The sequence below is a fragment of the Homo sapiens genome, chromosome 4 (assembly GCF_000001405.40).
Source record: "Homo sapiens chromosome 4, GRCh38.p14 Primary Assembly".
In the NCBI taxonomy this organism is placed as follows: Eukaryota; Metazoa; Chordata; class Mammalia; order Primates; family Hominidae; genus Homo; species Homo sapiens.
The window spans coordinates 72,334,956-72,356,863 of record NC_000004.12 but is presented as its reverse complement, the minus strand read 5'-3'; the positions used below and the strand labels follow the sequence as shown (position 1 = coordinate 72,356,863).

Genomic DNA, 21,908 nt, shown 5'->3' with positions numbered 1-21,908 from the left:
ATCTCAGTAATGTTTGGCTTTAAGTAATATTTATAGTTTTCAGTGTAGAGGTCTAGCATATATTTGTAAATTTATAAACATAGAAACTATTTTATAGTCTTTTAAATGATGTTTTGATGCTAATATAAAAAATGCAAGTAATTTTGTGTATTGGTTTTGTATTCAATGACTTGCTTAATTCATTTATTAATTATAAAAATTAATATGTAGATTACTGTAGAATTTCTATCTAAACAATTATCTGGAAATGGTAACATTTATTTCTTCATTATAAATCAGCGTTCATATTTATTTTATTTTATAGCCTTGTTGAGTTTTGTTTTGTTTTTCCACTTTGTACGTGTCTATGGAAGACTGTGAAAGCACAGTGAGTATTGATTTAGGGATTACAAAAACATTATAACAACTAGATGAACTCACAAATACAAAATCCATAAATAATAAAAATTACTTGTTTTAATATTTATATATGAGATAGAATAGAATATCATATAATAGTGTGTGCCTCTGTGTATATTATGATAAGATATAGTTTATTCAACTATACTCCTACTCTTGGATGTATGAATTACCTCCAGTTTTTTTTTAATTATCACTTCCAATACTGTTAGAAACTTTAGCAACAGCTAGTTATGTTTTCCTTTTTCATTCTTCTACATTTTGCATATTGACACATTATTTTCCATTTATAAATTATTTTCTCTAAAGCTAAACCATTTACCTGCTGATTTGTTCACTCATTTGTTTAACAAATATTTATTGATCACTTGCTGTATTTCCAGTTCATTTGGCAACTTTTTGACATGTTTTCCCTTTTTGTTTTAATGGACTTAGTAATTAATTACCGGAGTTTTTTAATCACAAAAGTATTTTGCAGTCAAAACCATTTATATATGTCCCTCTGTCTGCAGTATCATGGAGTGTCCATGGTAGATAGGATGAAGGCATACTAATTTCCACAAATCATAAGCCTAGTATGAGTATAGCTGTACTATGATGAATATCATGGAGAGCATACCTAGCTTTCAGCCTTGTTGTTTCTCTTTAGTCATTTGTGCTATTATAACAAAATAAGACAGATGGAGTAATTTATAAAGAAGATAAATTTATTTCTCACAGTTCTGCTGGCTGGGAAAAGTGTAAGACCAAGCAACCAACACCGCTATCTGGTGAAGGCCACTTTCAACTTCCAAGATGGTGCCTTGTTGCTGCATCCTCACATGATGGATGGGGGAAACCCACGAGGGGATGAATACTATGATGTCACATGGCAGAGGGCAAACCAACTTCCACAAGTCCTTTCTGCCCTAATCCATTAAGACTTAATCACCTCTTAATACCATCACAATGAGTATTAAGTTTCAATATGAGCATTGTGATAAGATCTTATGTGCTGTGGTGATTTATATTGCAGCTTTTCTTTGCTCTATCAAGAATTTTCTCTGATGTCGATTGAACAAGAGGAAAAATGTAATACATGAATTTACCTTTGAGCACCCTCCACCCCCACATTGTTTTGAGGTTTTGGCTTAACAGACTCATAGAAAGTACTTTGGAACTGCTGAATATATTAATTATATTTAAATGAAGAAATGTGAGCTGGTCCCTTGGTTCAGGGAAGAATCTGAACAGTTCCTTAAAAGATTTTTTTTTTTAGTTATTATTTTGTTCAGGTAAACAACTTTCTAGGCTGATGAAATAGGTAAAATTGCAAAAAAAAATGAGTAGACTATAATGAAAAATAACAAGATTAACTACTCTAGAGAAAAAATAAAGCTAGGATACAATAAGAGATATATAGTTTAGTTAGTTAAATGTTTGGCCAATGCCAAAAGGTTGAAATTTAATGTAAAAAGGAAGGAAATTTGCAATACCAAAAGCTTTTGGAGTAAGATTTATAGAAGATAATTTAAGTGGCAGAATGTAGGATAGGTGTAGAAGACAGAATATGAGGAAAGAGAAGACACAATCCAGTGTCTAGAACCTGAAATATGAGACTGGATATAGAAATGCAGATAGAATGGCAAATATAAGATTGTTGTGTATCAAGAATTATCAGAATTTGGCAATGACCTGATGAGACAAGCAAAATAAAAATGACTTCAGGGTTTTGATTGCCTGGAAATGTTATACAAGAAGACTGTTGAAGGATATATTATGTTGAGATAAGCGAATGACTTGAGAATAACAATGAAAAGACATTGGAATGTCAATGTTGAAATGTCCTGTAACTCAGGATGTGTAATTTAGGATCAAAAATGCATTAAAACTCTATTATTGAATGATTTGCCCAAGGGACTACTTGTAAAAAGCAAAGGGCCTTAAAGTGATGCTCAGCCAGCAGGCGAGAACAAGATCTTGCAAAGGACCACCTGAAGAGACATCTGGGAAACTCAGAGTGGAGAGGAATGAAAAGTAGGGTTAAAAACTGAATCAATAAAGAAAATGTGTGATAATTCACTCTGTTGAAGAAAGCAAAAGGATTAAAAATGGAGAGAGTGGTCTAGAAAGAAGGGAAAAAATCTTGATTTGACTCAAGTCAGTATCTGTAAAGGAGCAGCTATACTGACTGAAGCTTAGACTGGAGAGGGGTTGGGAGGAATATCAACAGGTTGGGAGGATGACACTTCTTATTAAATTGGAAAACAGATGAAGATAAATGTGCTTCTAGGAATATTTTATCTAAACAAACACTTGGACTAAGTCAAATAGTTAATAATATGTTACTTGGAAGCACCTGATACATAGTAGGTGCTCAATAAATGTTTGTCCAGTGAATAAGTGAACTCTTATCCCGTCTTATCCACATCCAATGCCTTTGGTACACTTTCTGAATACTAAAAATATATGAATAGGTGATTTTGTGAAACAGTTATATGGAACAGTAAGGTACAGGCCAGATTGGAAGCAGTTCCTGAGGGATGTAGGAGAAAAAAATGGGGGTATTAGGCAAACTCCACAACAGTAAAGAATCACAACATGGAATTCTAGAAGTAGGAGGGATCCTGCAGGTCACTGGATAGACCAACTTTGTTATTACATGGATGTGAATTTGAGGCCCAGTTTTGTTAAATAACTTACCATATACATGTCAAGGTTCAGTTTTAGGAAATTGAAACCACACTAGCCATTTTAAGCATGAAAGAATTCAATGAAAAGATTTAAGTGTACATTAAATCTTTGGAAGGATTGAAAATACAGCCTCTAGGCTTGGGGTTCAGGACTAGTTCCCAGAATGATACAGAAGATGGCCCACCCTGGTAGCTGCTATTTCTGCTAAAATCTGGGAATGGGAGGTGGAGATAGCTGCTGCTGGACCTGCTGACTCCAGCTTGCTACTGATGATATTATCCAAGGGTAACAAACAGCTACAACTGAAACTGCACCTTTCTTTCAGCATCCACACAGCTAGCAACTAGACATAGGACCCTGCTACAGAAAGCCACTGTTTTTACAGTGTCTCCATAACCATATTTGCCATTCTGAGTTCCAAATCTCATATGAGTTCATCCAGTTGGTTTAACCAAAGTCTCATGTGGAATTCTAACTACAAGCACATTGGGTACTATAGTTCCAACTTCTGCAGGAGTGCACCCCACAAGGAGGTTAGAACGAATGATGACTCCCAAGTAGCTTCTGAAGCTAAGATAATCACTGTAACAAGGACATGGAAGCCCTGTTGCTACAATTTCTTTGTTATCATTGAATACAAGTACACAAAAAGAAATCATGTGGATTCAGCCCTGCCTTCTAGAAATCATATTTTGAGAACTGAAAGGCCCATAAACAGAATGACCACTTAATTTATTGTTCAAACTAGGACACGTGAGAATGAACGAAAACATTCCTAATATTGATGCCAAGATAGTAAGCATGGTACAGAATTGCCCCAGGAAATCTGGCCTGAAGCCTGTTTACAAAATATTTAAGATTCTTCATGATCTTGCTTCAACCTCTCTTAGTAACCGCATTTCCCAGTGTAAATATTCACTTAGTTTTGCTCCATCCTCTTTGAAGTTCTATTTCCCCAACATTTCAATACTTTTCAGTCTTTCTGCGTGCATTATGCCCATTGTCTGGAAGGGCCCACCCTATTTCTCCATGTCTAATATCTGTGCATCTTTTAAAATCCATTTCAGATGTCACCTCCTCTGTTGACACATTCTCAGATTCTTCCTGGTAGAGTAAACTGATTCTTCCTCAGTTACACAAATATCTTGCATGAAAATATCTGTTTACATATCCTTCTTTCCTATTAAGCTGTGACCGCCTTGATGACCGGAATTCAGCTTATTCACGTTTGTTTGCAGGAGCCAGATTAGGTTCTGTGCTGAAAAGGTGTTCAAGAAATGTTTTGAAATAAATGGATGGGAGGAGAGAGAGGAAAGAAAGGTGAGGGGATGTCCTTCCAGGAAGGAGGTAATAAACCTTTTCTAGTAATTCTAACATCTTTATATGTGAAGGTTTTCCTTGTGTTACCAATTTGTTAGATCTTTAAAACCACTGAATGAATTGAGATGTGGAATCACATTCTTTCTTAGAAATAGACTTGCTTCCTGTAGACTGGATTTCCCTTTTGGTATTTGAAGAAAATATCTGTATGTATTGATTTTGATGACATACAAAATCAATACCACTGTATACCACTGGTGGTAACGTGGTAAAGTGTTCTCACTACATCCGGATAACCTTTCAAATATGTCATTCCTCAATTTGAATTGAATATATAAATGTTTAGGTTTCTTGGACTAAAAACATATAATCTTTAAAATCTAAGAAGATGAACTTAGATATAACAGAACCTACTGTACCATGAATCGCCATTGTGCCACTTTCCTTATCACAAGATGATTTTTTTTTGAGTGAGCTGTTTCATACTGCTTGTTGTTACCCTTGTTGATTTTGAGAAATTGCCAACAATGAACGCTAATTTATAAAATTTATTTCTTGCCTTTACCTCTGTAACGTGGCTTTCTGAAGTTCACCCCAATTTTCTATCATCTAAATATGATTTTTAAAACCCTAGCTTGTAATTTTGTGAAAAACTCAGAGCAAAACATATTCAGTGAATATTTCAAAAATCATGTTCTTTGGACTGTAAGGTGATATCCATGTTTGCTAAGGTTTTAGTTTTTTGAACTCCCTCCATGTTTGTGCTTAGTTAACAAGCACTTTTTTTTTTCTTTGCTACTCTTGGAAGACAGTTTCTTCCCGTAAATACATTTACAGTACCTTTTGGCTTATATAGCTTTTAATGAACAAAGAAGTTCACATTCTTTTATGAGAAAGGTGATTTTTTTTTTTTTTGGAAATTTCCTAAATGCTACTCAACCTTAATTGCACTTTCTTACATATGATACTGTGTGTTGCAAGGACATACTAAAGGAGATTTAATGTGTCATAAAAGTACATTTTTTAATTAAAGGGACATTTTCAGGATTCTCACTGTATATTTCACTACTGCCTAACTTCATCAAGTCCAAGTACATGTATATAGAAAATCATTTAGGGCAAGCTAAATGGCTGTTGAAATTTTAAGGCATGTTACCCTGTAACATGCCTGTAAATCCAAGCTTCTAAACTACCATATGTTCTCAGCAAAACCAAATTTAGTGAACTGCTGCTCCTGATCAAGATAGAATAAGAGAGACTGCATTTACTCTCTTGCTTTAAACAACCAGAAATGGACAAAATGTCTGAAACAACAGTCTGCAAGACGTTGGCTATCAGGCAGTGAATGACAGTGATCCTGAGAGATGAGAAACATATGAGGTGAGCCTCAGGATTGCCCCAGCTTATTGTCTTGAGGGTTTCCAGATGAATCCCAGGGAAGGGGAACCCAGGTGGAGCCTAACAAATTCCCAGAGTTGAGAAGCCAGAGCTGAGAGCCTGGAGAGAGGAAGGTGGCCAGAGCTCACAGGACTGAGAATGGGAGAAGAGCCATACAGAGATACAACTCTAAAGATCTGCAGAGGTCCCCCTCTGGTATTCAGCTGAGTCCGGATCATCGCATATATATGTGAGGAAACTACATGAAGCCTGACAAAGAGCCACCTAAAAAAAATCAGAGGTAACAGTGCCTGGTGCTTATATGGGGCTGGGAATAGTGCTTGTTTCCACAAGCCAGACTGCAATATCTCATGATTCACATCACAGTGGAGGGTAGACAGACGGGTCTGGCCTCAGTGGTGGTCAGTCATTAGCTGTAGATGGGCACTGTTCTGACCCCACCTAATAAATCTTACAAGCAAGACCCGAAAGGAACAAACTTGTCAAGTAATTTAACTGCATCCAAGAACAAAGTTCAAGAATATTTATAGGAATACAACTATATCCAGCAGCCAAAAGGGTAAAATTCACAATGTCAGACCTCCCATCTAAACTTACTGACTACGCAGAGAAGCCAGAAAATGCAACCCATAATGATGAGAAAAATAAATCTGTCCAAACCAACACAGAACTGACAAAATATGTTAGAATTAGCAAAGACAAATATTAAAGCAATCATTAAATCTATAGTTTATACATCTTAGAAAACATAGAAGATATAAAAATGCCCATTATTTTCCATCCATATGGTCGATACTATTTCAGAGAATATATTACAGGCACACAGTTATGTAGTAAAATGTAGTAACAGTGTTTCTCTCTTCTGGCATATTTTATTCCTTAGACTAAGAATAGTTTTATATTGGCAAATAAGTGTCTTTAGCAGAAATCACTTTAGGAATGGCTCAACAATTTTGTTTGAATGCAAAAAAGGTTTGTTATTAAATTTAACTTGAATAATATTATTTGTGGACTAGGAATTATAGTATTCCATTAATAATATTAGATAGCAAACGTTGTTCTGTCATAGATCTATCTTAAATCTGCAATAATTACTGTGGCTTAAATATGTTAACTGTGTATGATATAAAAACTGACCAATCAGAACGTGAATCAAAACTGTTTGATCAGTATTATTCAAATAAGCAAAAGCACTTTAGATTTTTAAAAATGTAGAATGACCGCTTCTTCAATAATTTGATGCGATAATAACATACATTTTAATTCCATGTTTGGAACTCTTCTTCAGTAAAATTTTATTGCAAGTAGCATACATATGTTAACAAAATTTTATTGCATCATAACAAAGAGATATGAAGTAAATTTTTAATCAGGATAAAATTCTGATCTGTACTGTGAATACATAATACTTAAAAAATGTCTAAGTGTTACCTTTTAGACAACCGAGGTTGTTTATAAAATCTGAAAAAAAATAGGCAACATTTTATTTTTTAGAGAAGAGATTTAAGGTATTCTTGGAAAATTGTGTATAACTGCCAATGTCTCCAGACTTTATGGACACTGTGCTCGTTAAATGGGAGAATGGTCAGATTATCTCTTATTGTGATAAGTTACTAGACTTTTATATTGTTATGAAGTATTTTATATCATAATATAGATTCTCTTAGTGTAGCACATTTTTTTCATGTAAAAATGTTTTAACGATGGTTGTATCCTTGACGAAGGATTTAGCATCAAATTTATAAGTATGATCAATCATGTATGATCAAACAGCCATAACAATAATAACCATCTTTAATAATTTAGTGAAATTGTGGCCTAATTATTAATTATGGAAATTTAGCCAGAAAGAACATGTTAGTGATCAGCTAGCTCAGCCTATTTATTTCAGGAAACTGAAGCTCAGATAAGTTTAGCTTCTTTCTCAAAATCATAGAGTTGCATCATAGTAGAGCTGGAACTAGAACTCAGTTCTCTTTTTATCATTTTCTGTTCCATTACTGTGTAATAAATCACCCCTAATTTAATAGCTTAAAACAATGCCTATTTATTAGCTCACAGTCTATAGGTCAGAAGTCTAAGGTGGCTGGACTGGTTCTTTGCTTAATTTATCACAAGGCCAAAATCAAGGTGTGGGCCAGATTGAAGTCTTATCTGAAGGATCTGGGAAATAGTCCATTTCCAGGCTCATTCAGGTTGTTGGCAGAATTCAGGTCCTTGTTTTTGCAAGCTGAGATCCTCATTTCCTTGCTGGCTGTTGGCTGTGGTTCACTGTCAGCAACTAGATACCTCTCTCCTGTCCAGGAGCAGAATCCATCCATCTCCAGAGCCAGCAATGGTACATCAAACTTCCTCCTGCTTCATTATTTCTGACTTTCCCTTCTGCCAACAGCCAGATAAAGCTCTCTGCTTTTAATGTCTCATGAAGTTAGATCAGGCCCACCTGGATAATGTTTCTATCTTATGGTCAATTGTACCATATAACATAACATAATCGTAGGAATGATACCTCATCAAAGGCACAGGTTCTTGGGACTAGGGCAGGGCATCTTAGTGGGGCCATTTTAGAAAGTCGGCTTGCTGCATTCCTGAGCCTATTCTGATTTTCTTTGTATTATATCATACAACCTCTTTCTGAAAAATCTGTAATATAAATATGAATATGCTCATAAAAAGTTTACATATATCTGAGTCAAATATAACTTTGATATTTGTGTGGCTTACTCCATCACTTTGCAAGATCTCAGCCCATTTGCTGCCTTCTTTTGAGAACCTTATCTAAAATTTTGCCTCCCTCGCCTTGTCCCTCTTACTCCCTTCCTCCTGTTTTACTCTTCTTACCCTAGTTGATAGTTCTTATCACTGGGATGTAAGTTCTATGAGGGTAAGCAACATGTTTGTCTCGTCCATTGCTGGATTCCCAGTGCTTAGAGCAGTGTGACATAAAGTGGTGTTCAGAGCCTTTAAATATTTATCTCACAGAATAAATGGCAAGTGTTAATATTAATATTAACATATTAGTCATTTGGCTATAATGACTTATTTACATTTTTATTAATCATTCCATATTGGAGTGATTTAGAATGCAAATGTAGAGTTTCTGGAGAAGTTTGAGGTGAAGAGCTTTTCTATCCTTACTAAAGTTGCATATAGGTGGAAAGTGAGGGAAGTAACATGAGCTTTGAAACGGCAGCTGTGAAAAGGAATCTCACCTCTCTTCTATGTAGTTGACCTTATTTAGAAAACCTTAATTTCTAGCAGTCTAAGATTACTAGAATGTAATCTAGTAATTGGGTGTGGTGACCTCTTCCTCTACTCTTCTATTACCTCCTTGATTTAGTAGAGCTGAACTACAAAAGCCATAAATAAGAAAATATATAATTTAGTCAAGAGGAAGAGAAATGTTAATGAAAATGCTATTAAATGTTTAGAGCAGTAAAATGTGAAAATTAAAAACTGTGCTGTCTCCCAAAATTAGTTATGATTTAGCTGAAAAAGAATAAAAGAAATTAAGAAACAAATCACTAGTAACAACATTATTCATTTAAAATAGAACCGAGAGAATAAAATAAACAAATTGGGAAATAAAACAGAATATGTAGTCTTTTTCAGAGCACTGTGTAGCCTAAGAATAGTTGACTACAGAAGAAGAATGAGAAGGAAAATGAAGACTATTGATGACTGTAGCAGAGAAAGGGTATAAATGGGCTTATTTATCAGGCTGCTCTTAGCTTCACCTGCCTGTCGGGAACTTACATCAAACTGTCTTAGCAAATGGAAAAAAAAAAAAAAAGCAGTAAAATAAGAAAATGAGGTGGTGGTAGTTTATTGGTTTGTGAAACTGAAAAGACCAAGTTTTCAGAAATTAGTGGGTGAATTCACAGGCTCATACTCATCATTGGAGTGTAGTCTATTCTCTATTAGTAGTCTCCACTTTCCTCTTCTAGCATTAAACTTAGACCAACAACTATTCTCATACTAGCCGTAAACACCTACATTGTTATATTCCTCCAGTTTCCAGCTTAATAATGAGAACTTTTCTTTCCTAGTAGCTCCAAATTAAAATGTCCTAGTTCACAATTTCATTAGCATAATTTAAGCCATTTGAACATCTATTAACCAAGTACTGGAGTCAAGGAAATGGCATATGCTACTTGGCCATGCCAGGTGAATGTGCACTGCTAGAGCTGAAGATGGAAGTGTAGAGGAGAAAAGTGAGATGAAGAGGGTGTAAGTTCGTGTAACTGCATGTACTGCCTGGCAAAAGATAATTCCCCCACACCTAGAGTCGCTGGATTTAGCAAATAAAACTATAGCATTTTCATTTGATTTTGAATCTCAGCTATAACAACGAGTAGGTTTTTAGTATTAAATATGTCTCATGCAATATCTGTGAGATATCTCTAGTAAAAATACTGTTGTTTATCTTATATTTTAATTTAACAAAAAATACTTTATTTTATCTGACAACCTTGCCCACACCCAAATGTTTCAGCAATAAACCACTGAAATGAAATCAAATTAAATGGTTGCAATGGGACTGAATGAGCAACAATTATGAGAATCCACTACTATGGAAATGAAGGACTATCTCTTTCAAAAAATATTGAGGCCAAGAGAATGCAGAAGTTATCTCTAGACAAATTATAATAGAAGAAATTAAACATGAAATGCATTATTGAAAACTAGGTATAAAAGATACCAGTGGAAGGCTGTTACTAAGGGATGAGGGAAGAGGAAGATCTGAAAAAGATTTCAGCAAGGTGGGTAACCTGTACAACATTCGTTTCCTTCTCTTTTATTTCAAGCCCCTGTGATTCAATTCTGGCCACTGAAACATGGAGTTAAATGTTACCAGAGAGTTTCTAGGAAAGGTTTTTACCTGTTCCTAAGAAAGTAATGCAGGAAGACACAATCTGTTGGACATGGCTTTGATGCTAGAATTGGTGTAACCATTTTGAAATAATCAAAGGAGCTAATTTGAAGGCAAAGTTTGTACACCAAGAATGGCAGGATATGGAAAGATGAAAAGAACTGAATCCTTGATGACCTATTGATGGATTAACCAGGAATCACCATACCTCTGGAACTCTTGTTACGTGAACTAGTATGTTTACTTATTGCTGAAGACACTAAGTTTTCTTGATTTGCAGTTAGAAACATTCTCGCTGACATAGAAGTTTTTTACTGCCAGTCAGAGTTCATATTTTGGATATTAAACTGATTTTAAAATTTCATTTGCTAATAATCACAAACCCAAAGCATTAAAACATTTTTTTCCTTAAAAGGTAAGAAGTTTCCCATCTAAAAAATGTCATGTTATTCCATAAAGTAGTCAGTAAAAACAAAAGCAAACACACGGATGTTAGAATTAGAACTTTTGGGGAAAAGAAATAACGGAAACTGACATTCACTCAATGGTTATGTCTTTAAAAAATAAAAGCAACAGGTACTTAGTGAAACTTTTGAATTGACATCATAACTTGACCTGAATATAGTTCTTTGAACTATCATTATGGAATTTCTCAGTTTGTGAAGGATAGAGCTCCTTTTCACGGAAACATTTTATATCTTGGTAGAATAGTGCCTCCACATATGTGGAGATGCTGTTACTGTATCCTTTTAGGAAGTGATAACTTTAAATTTTTTTAAAAAGATGTCAATTAAAAATCACTATTGGATGATACAAACAGGTTAACACAATTATTTAAGTTAACTGCTCTCTGCTTCTGATGTTAATAGATGACATTTGTTGGAATTTACACTTATTTTTAGCTCTGATTATAGGATCTCCACCTACTCTTGGAAAATCCAGCCTGTAGTATTCCAGTTACTTCATTTCATAACAGTATTCTGTTCATGAAGAAGGCAAGATTTTTACATATAGCCTCATTCTGTATTCATTGTTACTGTAAAACAATATGATGCTTTCTCATTTTCTGAAATGATGCACTACAGAGAATGCTACTATGATACATTTTGGTAACATGAATCGTATTTTATTCTTCACTTATTCACATGAAAATTGGCTTGCATTCTCATAGGGAGTAAAGAGTACTGGGAGAACCTAGTCAACAAAATTAAAATTTCTGAGTGTCATGTATTTTAGGACTAGATTCAGTGGCATACAAGAAAAAACTCATTAGATGGGTGACCTAAACATGATGGAAGTGTTACCTCTCATATGTAATGAAGTTTGTTTTTAGGTAATCCAGGGCTGGTATGGTGAGTCTACAGTCACTGGGGAGTCACACTCCTTTAAAGTGTCAGACTCTCCTCTATTCAGCATGTCCCTTTATCCTAGGATCACCCCATAGAACTGCTGACATCATGTCCACATTCTAGGCAGCAGAAAGGAATATTGGGTGATTGAGTGGAGGGCCAAAGGGGTGTGCACCTACTGGAATGAATTGTCTTCCTTTGAGGAGTCATAAGCCATCAAGATATAAGCAATACTTCTGCTTAGATCTCATTGGCTTATACTTAGTCACATGTAACCCTTAGTCACAGGGAGATTGGGAGTGACTTTTTGCTGGGTTTATTATTATTTCAAATAAAATTAACATTCTGCTCCTTAGGGAAGAGAGAATGAATATTGGGTAGATGGTTTTATCACAGGCTCTATCACAGTATGCTTATAATTGCATTCCAACCCCAAATGTATTTGTATTAGATTCAGAACTTGTACCTTTCCAATTTTACCTTCGTCTCCTGTCCTTTTTCAGACCATAGAAATTTTTTTCTGGGGTAGGGAGCAATTTCACTAATCCTATACTTTGATTTCCTATAAGTATGATTAAGCATATGAACATGTCATTCTCCTAAAAATATTTCAAGCCTTAGTGTCCATAATCAGCAAAGAAAGTTATATTCTACTTTATCTGTTTAGTAAGTTCAAAATTCTGATTTGATACTGATAATCTTATACTTAACACTAAAAATAACTGTATTTATTTTGACTTGATTGAACACCTATATGCCTCTCAAAAATTCATTCTGATAAAATAGGCCTTATAGTAAAATGATCACTTCTGCAAATTCCTATACAGTAATTGGGAAACTAGGGGGTGCACAAAAGGATACAATTAAAATGTTTCCAAAATATTAATTAATGCACATCAGTAATTCCTAAGGTAACCTTCAAAAACGTACATTTTCCTAAAAAGTTTTAAAAAAGAAAACTCACTCTAAGAACTAAGAGGGGATTGACTTTGATATTTCTGAGAAGCTTAAAAGGCACTGTGAGCATCACCTTTTTGGAATGATGCATGAGATTAATAACACTGCTCTACCTTTTGCAGGGCCTTTTTTTTCCTTTTGAATGATCAGTTGAGAACACACCTGTTAGAAAGCTCTCTGTAACCTGGATTTTCCTTTTTTTCTGCTAATTCTGTTGTCACATAAATCACTCTCTGCTGCCCAACTCAGCTAGCACCATTGAAGCCACATGGCAAGTGGAGTTATTACTCAAATCCGTCTCCCTAAAGGCTCAAAGGTTGTTTTTCAAAGATATTTTGGCAGGCAGGGGACACATTCCTTAATGGGTGCTGCTGATTGTTGGGAGACACGATCATGGTGATATAGGAGTAAAGAAGAAATTATCTAGGTGGGTAGTGAGGGTAGGGAAGTTTTTGGTAACATGTTTCTTTTCATGAAAAGCAGCCCCAAATCATTTTCTTTTCTAACAAAGAACAGCCTGTAAAATTGAGCGGCAGACATAGAAAGGCAAGCTAGAAACTTGCTAGGTGAATGCTGGCAGTTGTGCCAATAGGAAAGGGGGTACCTGGGGGCTAGGCATGTCCAACATGGCAGCTCCATCTTCCCTTCTCTTTGCCAGCCACATGTACAGTAAGGATGAGACAACATGGCACTGGCCAGGTGGAAAGCCCATTTGAATAATAAGATTAGGGTGGGATGGCCAGCTTCCCAGCATGCTATGTAACTGTTACACCTGGTCCAACTAATCTGTGGGCCCTTATGTAAATCAGACATTACTACCTCCAGCCTGTCCATAAAATCCAGTGTACTCTGCTGGGGGCTGGAAGCCCCATCTGGGTGCCCTTCTCTCTCACAGGAGAGAGAGCTGTTCTCCTTTTTCTTCTTTTGCCTGTTAAACCTCTGTTCCTAAACCCACTTCTTGTGTGTGTCTGCATACTGAATTTCCTTGGTGCAAGATGACAAACCTTGGGTCTTTACCCCAGACAACGATGCCACTTCAATAGGTGTTGGAAAATGATCGTCATATGCTAAGTCCACCTCTTGGTGGGGCCACAGTACCAGCTGAGTCATGAGTCATGCATTTGGTTGGGGTCAGTCGGTTGTCAGAATGCACAGGCTAAAAAATATCTCAAAAGATCAATCTTAGATTCCACAATAGTGATGCTATCTACAGAAGTAATTGGGGCCAGGTGTGGTGGCTCACGCCTATAATCCCAGCACTTTGGGAGGCTGAGGCAGGCAGATCGCTGAGGTCAGGAGTTTGAGACCAGCCTGGCCAATGTGGTGAAACCCCGTCTCTACTAAAAATACAAAAAGAAAAAAAATTAGCTGGGCATGGTGGTGTGTGCCTGTAATCCCAGCTACTCGGGAGGTTGAGGCACAAGAATCACTTGAACCGGGGAGGCAGAGGTTGCAGTGAGCCTATATCACACCACTGCACTCCAGCCTGGGTGACAGAGTGAGACTCTGTCTTAAAAAAAAAAAAAAAAAAAAAAGTAATTGGGGAAATTTCCAATCTTGTGACCTCTGGAACAATAGCGGTTCATCATTTTATTATGCCTGTGTCTTAAAAGAATTCAAACCTCATTCATAATCCTAACCTAGTGGCCTTTCATTAGTTTTACAAAGGCAGTTTAGTTGTGGGAAGGGCTATGATCATCCTTGCTTTAAGGTTAAACTATAAAATAAACTCCTCTCAAAGTTAGTTTGGCCTATGCCCAGAAATAACCAAGAACAGCTTGGAGGTGAGAAGCAAGATGGAGTCAACTATGTCAATTTCTCTTATTGTCATAGCTTTGCCATAATTTTGCAGTTTTACTAAGACAAATTCATTATGAATGAAGGTATTTCACAGCCTCAGAGCAGTCTGTAATTATAATGATGAGTATAAGTAAAAAGTGCCAGAAGCTATCCTACTGTCTTTCTTTGAAATATTTGATATTGTGCATTTTAGGAAACATGGAAAGAACACTGCCCAGCATGGAGGAAAGTAGGGACAAATTATTCTTGATTTTCAAAGGCTTCCTTCTTCTTTCCCAGGTTTCTTATGCAATAAAAAGAGAGATTCTGTTTCCTTACCAGAAAACTACCTATTTAAAGAGGCTTGCAAAGGCCAAACCAAAGGTGTGTTAAAGCAGAATGAACTGCCTCTCTGAAATAAGTATTCAGCCTACTTCATTCACACATCAAGCTTCATGATATAATAACATTGCTGGTATATTTCCATTGGACGTTTTCTCTGAGCATTCTGCCAACAGGAGCCATTTTTAGAATTGAGAGCTCATGTCTGAATTTCCTATATTTGTACACTAGCTATCACAGCCTTTCACATTCTAAGTGTGTGAAAAAGACTTGAGGTTGAATGGTAAAGCTATTTGCAGGTGTAGTCGTCTCTTAACCTCAGTGAGGGTTTGCAGCTCTTGAAAACTTTTGAGGAAAGCTTTCTGTTTGATGTGGATGATGGTGAGAGTTATTTATATATTGTGGAGCCAATGTAATTCCTTGGTGAGGAGAATTTTCCCAGCTAATGAGCTAGCAGTTGGGCTTAGGTCAAAGTGAATTAAAGTAGAGCTTTTAAACCTGAGTAGTCACATTCAGACCATGTCCCCCTACTTGTAAGGGAGGGTATTGGTGTTTCTATATATTTTTTAAAGGTAGAAAAAGTGTGAGCAGGATCTGTACTTTCACTACTTCTAATCCTTTTTGGCTAGGGCTTGGTCATCAACCTTCCCAGCCAAAAGACACCTATTTTTCCCAGTCTTAATTTTATTAAAGCCACAAAGGTGGAGAGGACAATACCTATTTATTAATGTCAGATGCTGACTCAAATGGCTAACAAGCCCCAGTGCAGCATGAAATAAACCATCATATAAAGCATGAGTCAGAGCTGGTTCTGTCAAACTTGTTTTTACATATACGGTTGTTTTAGACATCAAGGCAGCTTATAAAATAAAATCCTTTCTGAGTTCTATATACTTGAAATGGAGATGAAAATATTTTTGGTTTTTATGTACCAGCAGTTTTGAATACTCTCTAATTTTAATCCAAATGATAGATTTTATTTTTTAATTCACTAAAACTTTTTTTCTCAAAAAATATAGTCATCTGAAAACAGATAACTTAGGTAATTAAAACCTGATGGTGTCTCTCTTCTTCTTTCTTTCCATGTATATAGGTATGTTGTATGTATATGTGTGTGTATGTGTGTATGAAATGTTCATTTGGAAAGTAAAAAAATGTAAGTTTCTTGAACTGCATTAAATAAGAAATTATTTTTACTTTTATTTTTCTTTGAATAAAAGTTATTTTCTGACTGACTTCTTACTTTGATATCTCAGGTTTAGATATATAGCAACTGAAATGACTTGCCATCCAAATGATGGCCAGTGCAAATGTGGAGCACTAAAGTTTTCCTGTGTATCCCTGCATATACACATATATGTATATTTTATTGGCATATATATATAATATATAACCTGTATATTATATACTATCTTATCCACACACACATACACATACACACACACACACACACACACTTATGTATATAGTATATACCCTGTATATCCACTTCTTCGCTGGCAGCATTCACTAGAAAACTTTACTCAGAAGAAATAAAGCAATACATAGTGACTGATAATCATATCACTAGATGCTGTTGTGTTGCCCTGCTATAATTTAATTTTTAAATTAAGGTTACTGGAAAGAGGAGCAATTTAAATTTATGTGACACAAATTCTATACTCCATGGCTACAGGAACTTAATCATTGTAAACATACTGGAGTTATTTTTATTTGTAATCTCAATTTATTTAATAACTACATAGCCAGCCTGTATTCTGTACCCCCACTGCCTTGACTCTTTGCTGGGAGAAAAACTGAACCACTTCTATCCTTACAGAATAGTCCTTCTGCCATGATGGCACCGCTCCCTGTATAATAATATGATTTTACCTTCAGTGTTGCTCTTCTATGTTCAATTTGTAGCAGGTCTGTCTGATCGTATGCATATGCGTATTATTTAAGGAATAAACTGAAAAGCAACATCTCAGTGATTATGAATGATACTGATAGGCCCCTGAGAAGATTCTTTTTTTCTAAGAAGTGATTGGAAGGCCTGTTAGGGAAACTGAAATTCCTGGTTCCTTTTGTCTCTTATTAGAGTCGGACCTGGAAGGCCTTGATGATCTAGGTACTGTTTATGGCAACATCCACCAGCAGCTGAATGAAACAATGAGACGCCGCAGACACGCGGGAGAAAACGATTACAATATCGAGGTACTGCTGGGAGTGGATGACTCTGTGGTCCGTTTCCATGGCAAAGAGCACGTCCAAAACTACCTCCTGACCCTAATGAACATTGTGAGTAGTGACTCCTTTTTAAAGCTTTTTGATCTTTTAATTCACTTCTCTTATTTGTTGGTACCCTTTGGCAATCTGTGTGAGAACTTCCATGACTGTGCCAAAATATGTGCATGATGGCATTAAATTTAAATTATTGATCTACATATTTAAAGTACAGGAATGCTAAAATAAAGGAAGCATGAAGCGAAAGTTTCTTTTGGTTGATCAAGTAGTTTTCCGTTGTTGTCAAGGGGGAATCATAAATTTAAAAAGCCATAATGAGATGGAATTAAAACATGAATTGTAATTTTTATTTTGTTCTGGGGATAATCAAAACTCGCAGGACTTTGTCCATCTGCTTTCATGTTGCCTATGAAGGATGAAATAGTTCTTTCTAGAATCACTCTGCTTCACAGGATGATATAGAATGATTTATGCCTGGTAACTCTGTGGATTCTTGTTATTACAGCTTTTGAACAAATGTGATTTTTTTCAACATTATAAGACTGAAGGTAATATATTTATTAATACAAAGCATACAACTATTGGCACGGTGCTGCACAGCAACCACTAATGGTCTCTTTAAATTTATCTTTATTTCTCTTTTATGAACCTTAATCAGATTCAGAAGAAATTTTGTCAATATCCTGAAACTTGTGTTCTTTCTTTTTAAATTGGCAGAGAACAACTGAGGAGAAATAATAATACGTAAACCACCTACTTCTAAAAGATAATTGAGATTTTGATGTACTCTATATATGTTACCTCATGCCAATATGAAATATATATTATATTGATCTTGCAAATTTATTACCTAAGCCTATGCTGTTTTATTTCCCTATCTCTCAACCCACCCTCCCCCCTCACAACTTTTGATATTTAATATAATTTCTTGGATATCTATAGTTTACCTCTTTCCCCCATGCTTAAGATTAGATTTCAAGCAATGATAGTGAAGGAGAAAAATTCTTAGTTTCATGAAACATGATTTTGTTTATGCTAATATCTGTTAATTATATTTTGGTCTATTGAGATAGCAATTTATAAAATTACACTTATACCATATCTCTGTGAAATGGAAAATGAGTACAGAAATTCAAACACATTTTTATTTGTTCTTGGCACTAATTTCTGTTATGAAGACCAAACAACACACAGAAAACAAATTACTAGCCTTGGCAATAGATGTGTTCAGAGGATCATCATTTGTGAATCATATGAATGTTTTCAACTCTTGACTATGAACTTTTCATATTAACCTTTTGACTATTAACTTTTTGCTAGTTATGTAACTTTGGCATGCTTCTTGGACTCTCTGTCCTGCTTCTGTCTCTTTATCGGCATATTGAGAAAAATAATAGGGATGTTGAGAGGATGAAGTGTGTAAATACAAGTCATCCATTATTTACAGTGCCATATACAGATGCACAAATAGACAATCATATTTTAGTTTCTCTATGCCAAATTTTACTTCATAAGTTATCTAAAATTTCAAACTTCCTATGGAGATGTTATTCTTACGTCATTCATTATGTCCCTGGGCTACTTTTTTTCTACTATCTGGAAGACAATCAGTACAGACTTATTTGGCTTGCAAATGTGCCTAATAAGAAGGCTTTTGGAGTAATGCAATAGAGATTTTGATATGGTCTTGTCCTCGTAGAACTTATAACTATTAGAGGAGAAAAAATAAATACATGGGAAAATTAGAAGGAAAAAACGTAAACAATAAAAGTCATGCTATTATTAAGCCATATTATAGGCAGTATATCATAAATGCTATAACACTTTAGAAAATGGAGATGTGACCATAGTTATCCAATCATGAAGTGATAAAAGTATTAAATTGGGACTTAGGAGGGTAAGGCTTTAGTTTTAGTCATACTACTAGTTGGCTTTGTGACCTTAGACAAATCATGTCCCTTTCTAGGACTTAGTTTTCATCATTACAAAATTGAAAGATTCAACAAGTTTATTAGTTATGTAATTCATCAAGAAGTTAGGAGTTAAACTGCTTTTAGAGATTTCCTGTTGTTTTTTTGTTTGCCTTGTTTGTGTTTTTTGAAGGACATGTGAAAATGTAAAGGACTTCTATGTAGGAATGGATACAGTATATTCACCAGACAGTAAGTAGTAAGTATGATTTTGAGAGTGTCAAAGGAATAACAAAGTGATGCATTTTATGTTTTAAAAACAGTCAAGAGGACTTTTGTTCTTAAGTCCATTAAAAAAATTAGATAATAGACTATGACTCTGTCTCAAATACAAATTATTCTAAAGTAAATAGAGTATCAGAGAATGGAGCTATGGGAGAGAAAATAATTTTTTAATACTTAATATATTAGTTGCATTTTAAGTAATTAATACAGGTAAGAGATTTGGAGAGGTAAGAATAACACTCCTCCCCTTCCCTCCCCAACTTCATGACCAACTGAAAGATAGACATGGAAATCACACAGATGAAGAATGAAATAGTTTTATTATTGATGAGACCTGAATTGCACATACAATTGCATATACTTAAGTGTATAGTCACAAGGTTTTCATTATTCTAAATCAGTGGTTCTCAACTGAGGATAATTTGTGTCCACGTCAGTTCCCAGGGACATATGGCAATGTCTGTAGACTTTTTTTATTGTTAACACTGGTGGGTGGGGCGGGGGTGGAGGGGGATGCTACTGCTAATAGCGACAGAGGCCTGGGATGCTGCTCAGCATCCTACAGCGCAACAGACAGCCCTACACAGCATAGAATTTTTAATTATCTGGCCCAAAATGTCAACGATGCTGAGATTTAGAAACCTTGTTCTAAATTAGTCTTATTCCCAACCCTCATCACTCTCCAACTGGATAATTTCAGGTTTTCCCCCTGGAGTCAGGCAGACAACTTTAGGCAAGACAGACAGAAGACTTAAGTCTTCCTTCTCCTCCATACCCTCTGCCCTGTTGTAGCCTGTTAGACCCAAAATACTGACCTGAGCAGGCTCTTTCCTTTTCCTCCAATTCATCATCAAATGAGAATGAGAAGCAGAAAGAGAAACCAACGATACTGTAATGAAGCTACCTCATGGAAATTCAAGACCAGGAACATTCAGTTTTTCTCTAACGATGTTCAAATAACTATCTCCTTTGCTGGCCATGCTTTATGATTTCTCATGGTCATCTAAAATTATGGCTCACCAGGCTTGAGGCCTACATAGACACAGAGACTTAGATGAAATGTCAGATAGGGTCCTGGAGAGAAACTGTAGAAGAAAGCTAACAGCAAAAAATTCTATCTTTTTGCATTGATTAGTGTGAAAGGTGTCCCTATGGTAGAGAGAAGATCATGCTGTCCTTTAAAATTGTTGGTCAACTTTGCCTTGGTTGACTGCTCAGCAGATGTGCTCTTCCATTTACCTGGTTGTCAATTTCATTTCCATATCAGAACTGAGATGATAGTTTCTGAATTAAGGGAATACCTTTAGGTCCAAGTAATTTGCTTCAGAGTATCGCCTTAATTTAAATGGGATTCCCTTTTAAAGAGAAGCTTATATTTCTTATGTCATGCTTTCCTTTATTGAAAAGAGCTCGTATATTAAGTGTTAAATGTATATTTAATGAAAGAAGAACAAATGAATATAAATAATGTAGAGGTAGATCACGAACAATCTTGGGAGGAAGTCAGAAATTTTGGACTCAAAACAAGAGGAAATAGATGCCAAATGCAATGATATAATGGGAGCAGTGTTTAAGAAATAAATTAACAATTATTATTGGGTATCATATATTCTTTCCAACTATATTGCAAGATGGAAATTATTACAATTTTTCCAAAGGAAACAGAGACTTTGAAAATGTTAATGAAATTTAGGTAAATTTTAAAAAATTATTTACAGTTCATAAAACAGTCTCAAGTAATGATAAGGTGGTAAAGCTAATCATTAAAAAAAGACAGTGTTACTGGGAGGAGAAACTGGCTTAGAACGTTTAAGTTGTTTTTAATTTTAACTCAATCATAATTTAAGTGTAATGAGAACACTTAACACACAGTATTTACTGTTATATGTCACTAGTAATATTAAATCCCTTTGGTTTATCTGTTGTTTTAAATTAGCCATGCAAGTTGTCCACCTTTTGGATACAAATATATTTAATCTATTTCAGGGCCGTATTTCCTAACGATAGTAATGACTGTGCGTATGAATGCGGTAAAATTCTGTAGGTGTTGCCATGCAAATCTGGGTGTTTGGATGCATAAATTAAATAATTTATGTAAAGTACTTATCAGAGATTCAGGCACAAAGAGCTAAAATATTAGTAGTATAAGCCTTCACTGTTAACATTAAGTCTTTATTTTGAATCTAGACTCAAAACCAGATGATTTCAAATACCTTCAAAGATTTCATCACTAACCTTAATTCTCCATAATCTATTTTTGGTTAACTAAGTTAACACTTTTCTCTGGGGCTTAAGGGTCAAGTGAACAAGTTTGAGCAGACCCTAGATGATTTCGATATAACTTCCTAAGAAAGGAAGGATACCCTCTACTCATCCCCACTCCTTTGTGAAGCAATG

General features: G+C 35.4%; 1 protein-coding gene across 3 annotated transcripts in view; it reads left to right on the top strand.

The window, feature by feature from the left end:
• Positions 1–21,908, top strand: part of ADAMTS3 (ADAM metallopeptidase with thrombospondin type 1 motif 3) — a 288,253-nt gene that overhangs the window by 212,358 nt on the left and 53,987 nt on the right. For all 3 annotated transcript variants that reach the window (NM_014243.3, XM_011532422.4, XM_011532421.2), the window contains exon 5: positions 17,171–17,370. In NM_014243.3, the coding sequence (NP_055058.2) occupies positions 17,171–17,370 (200 nt within the window). The remainder of the gene's footprint in view (positions 1–17,170; positions 17,371–21,908) is intronic.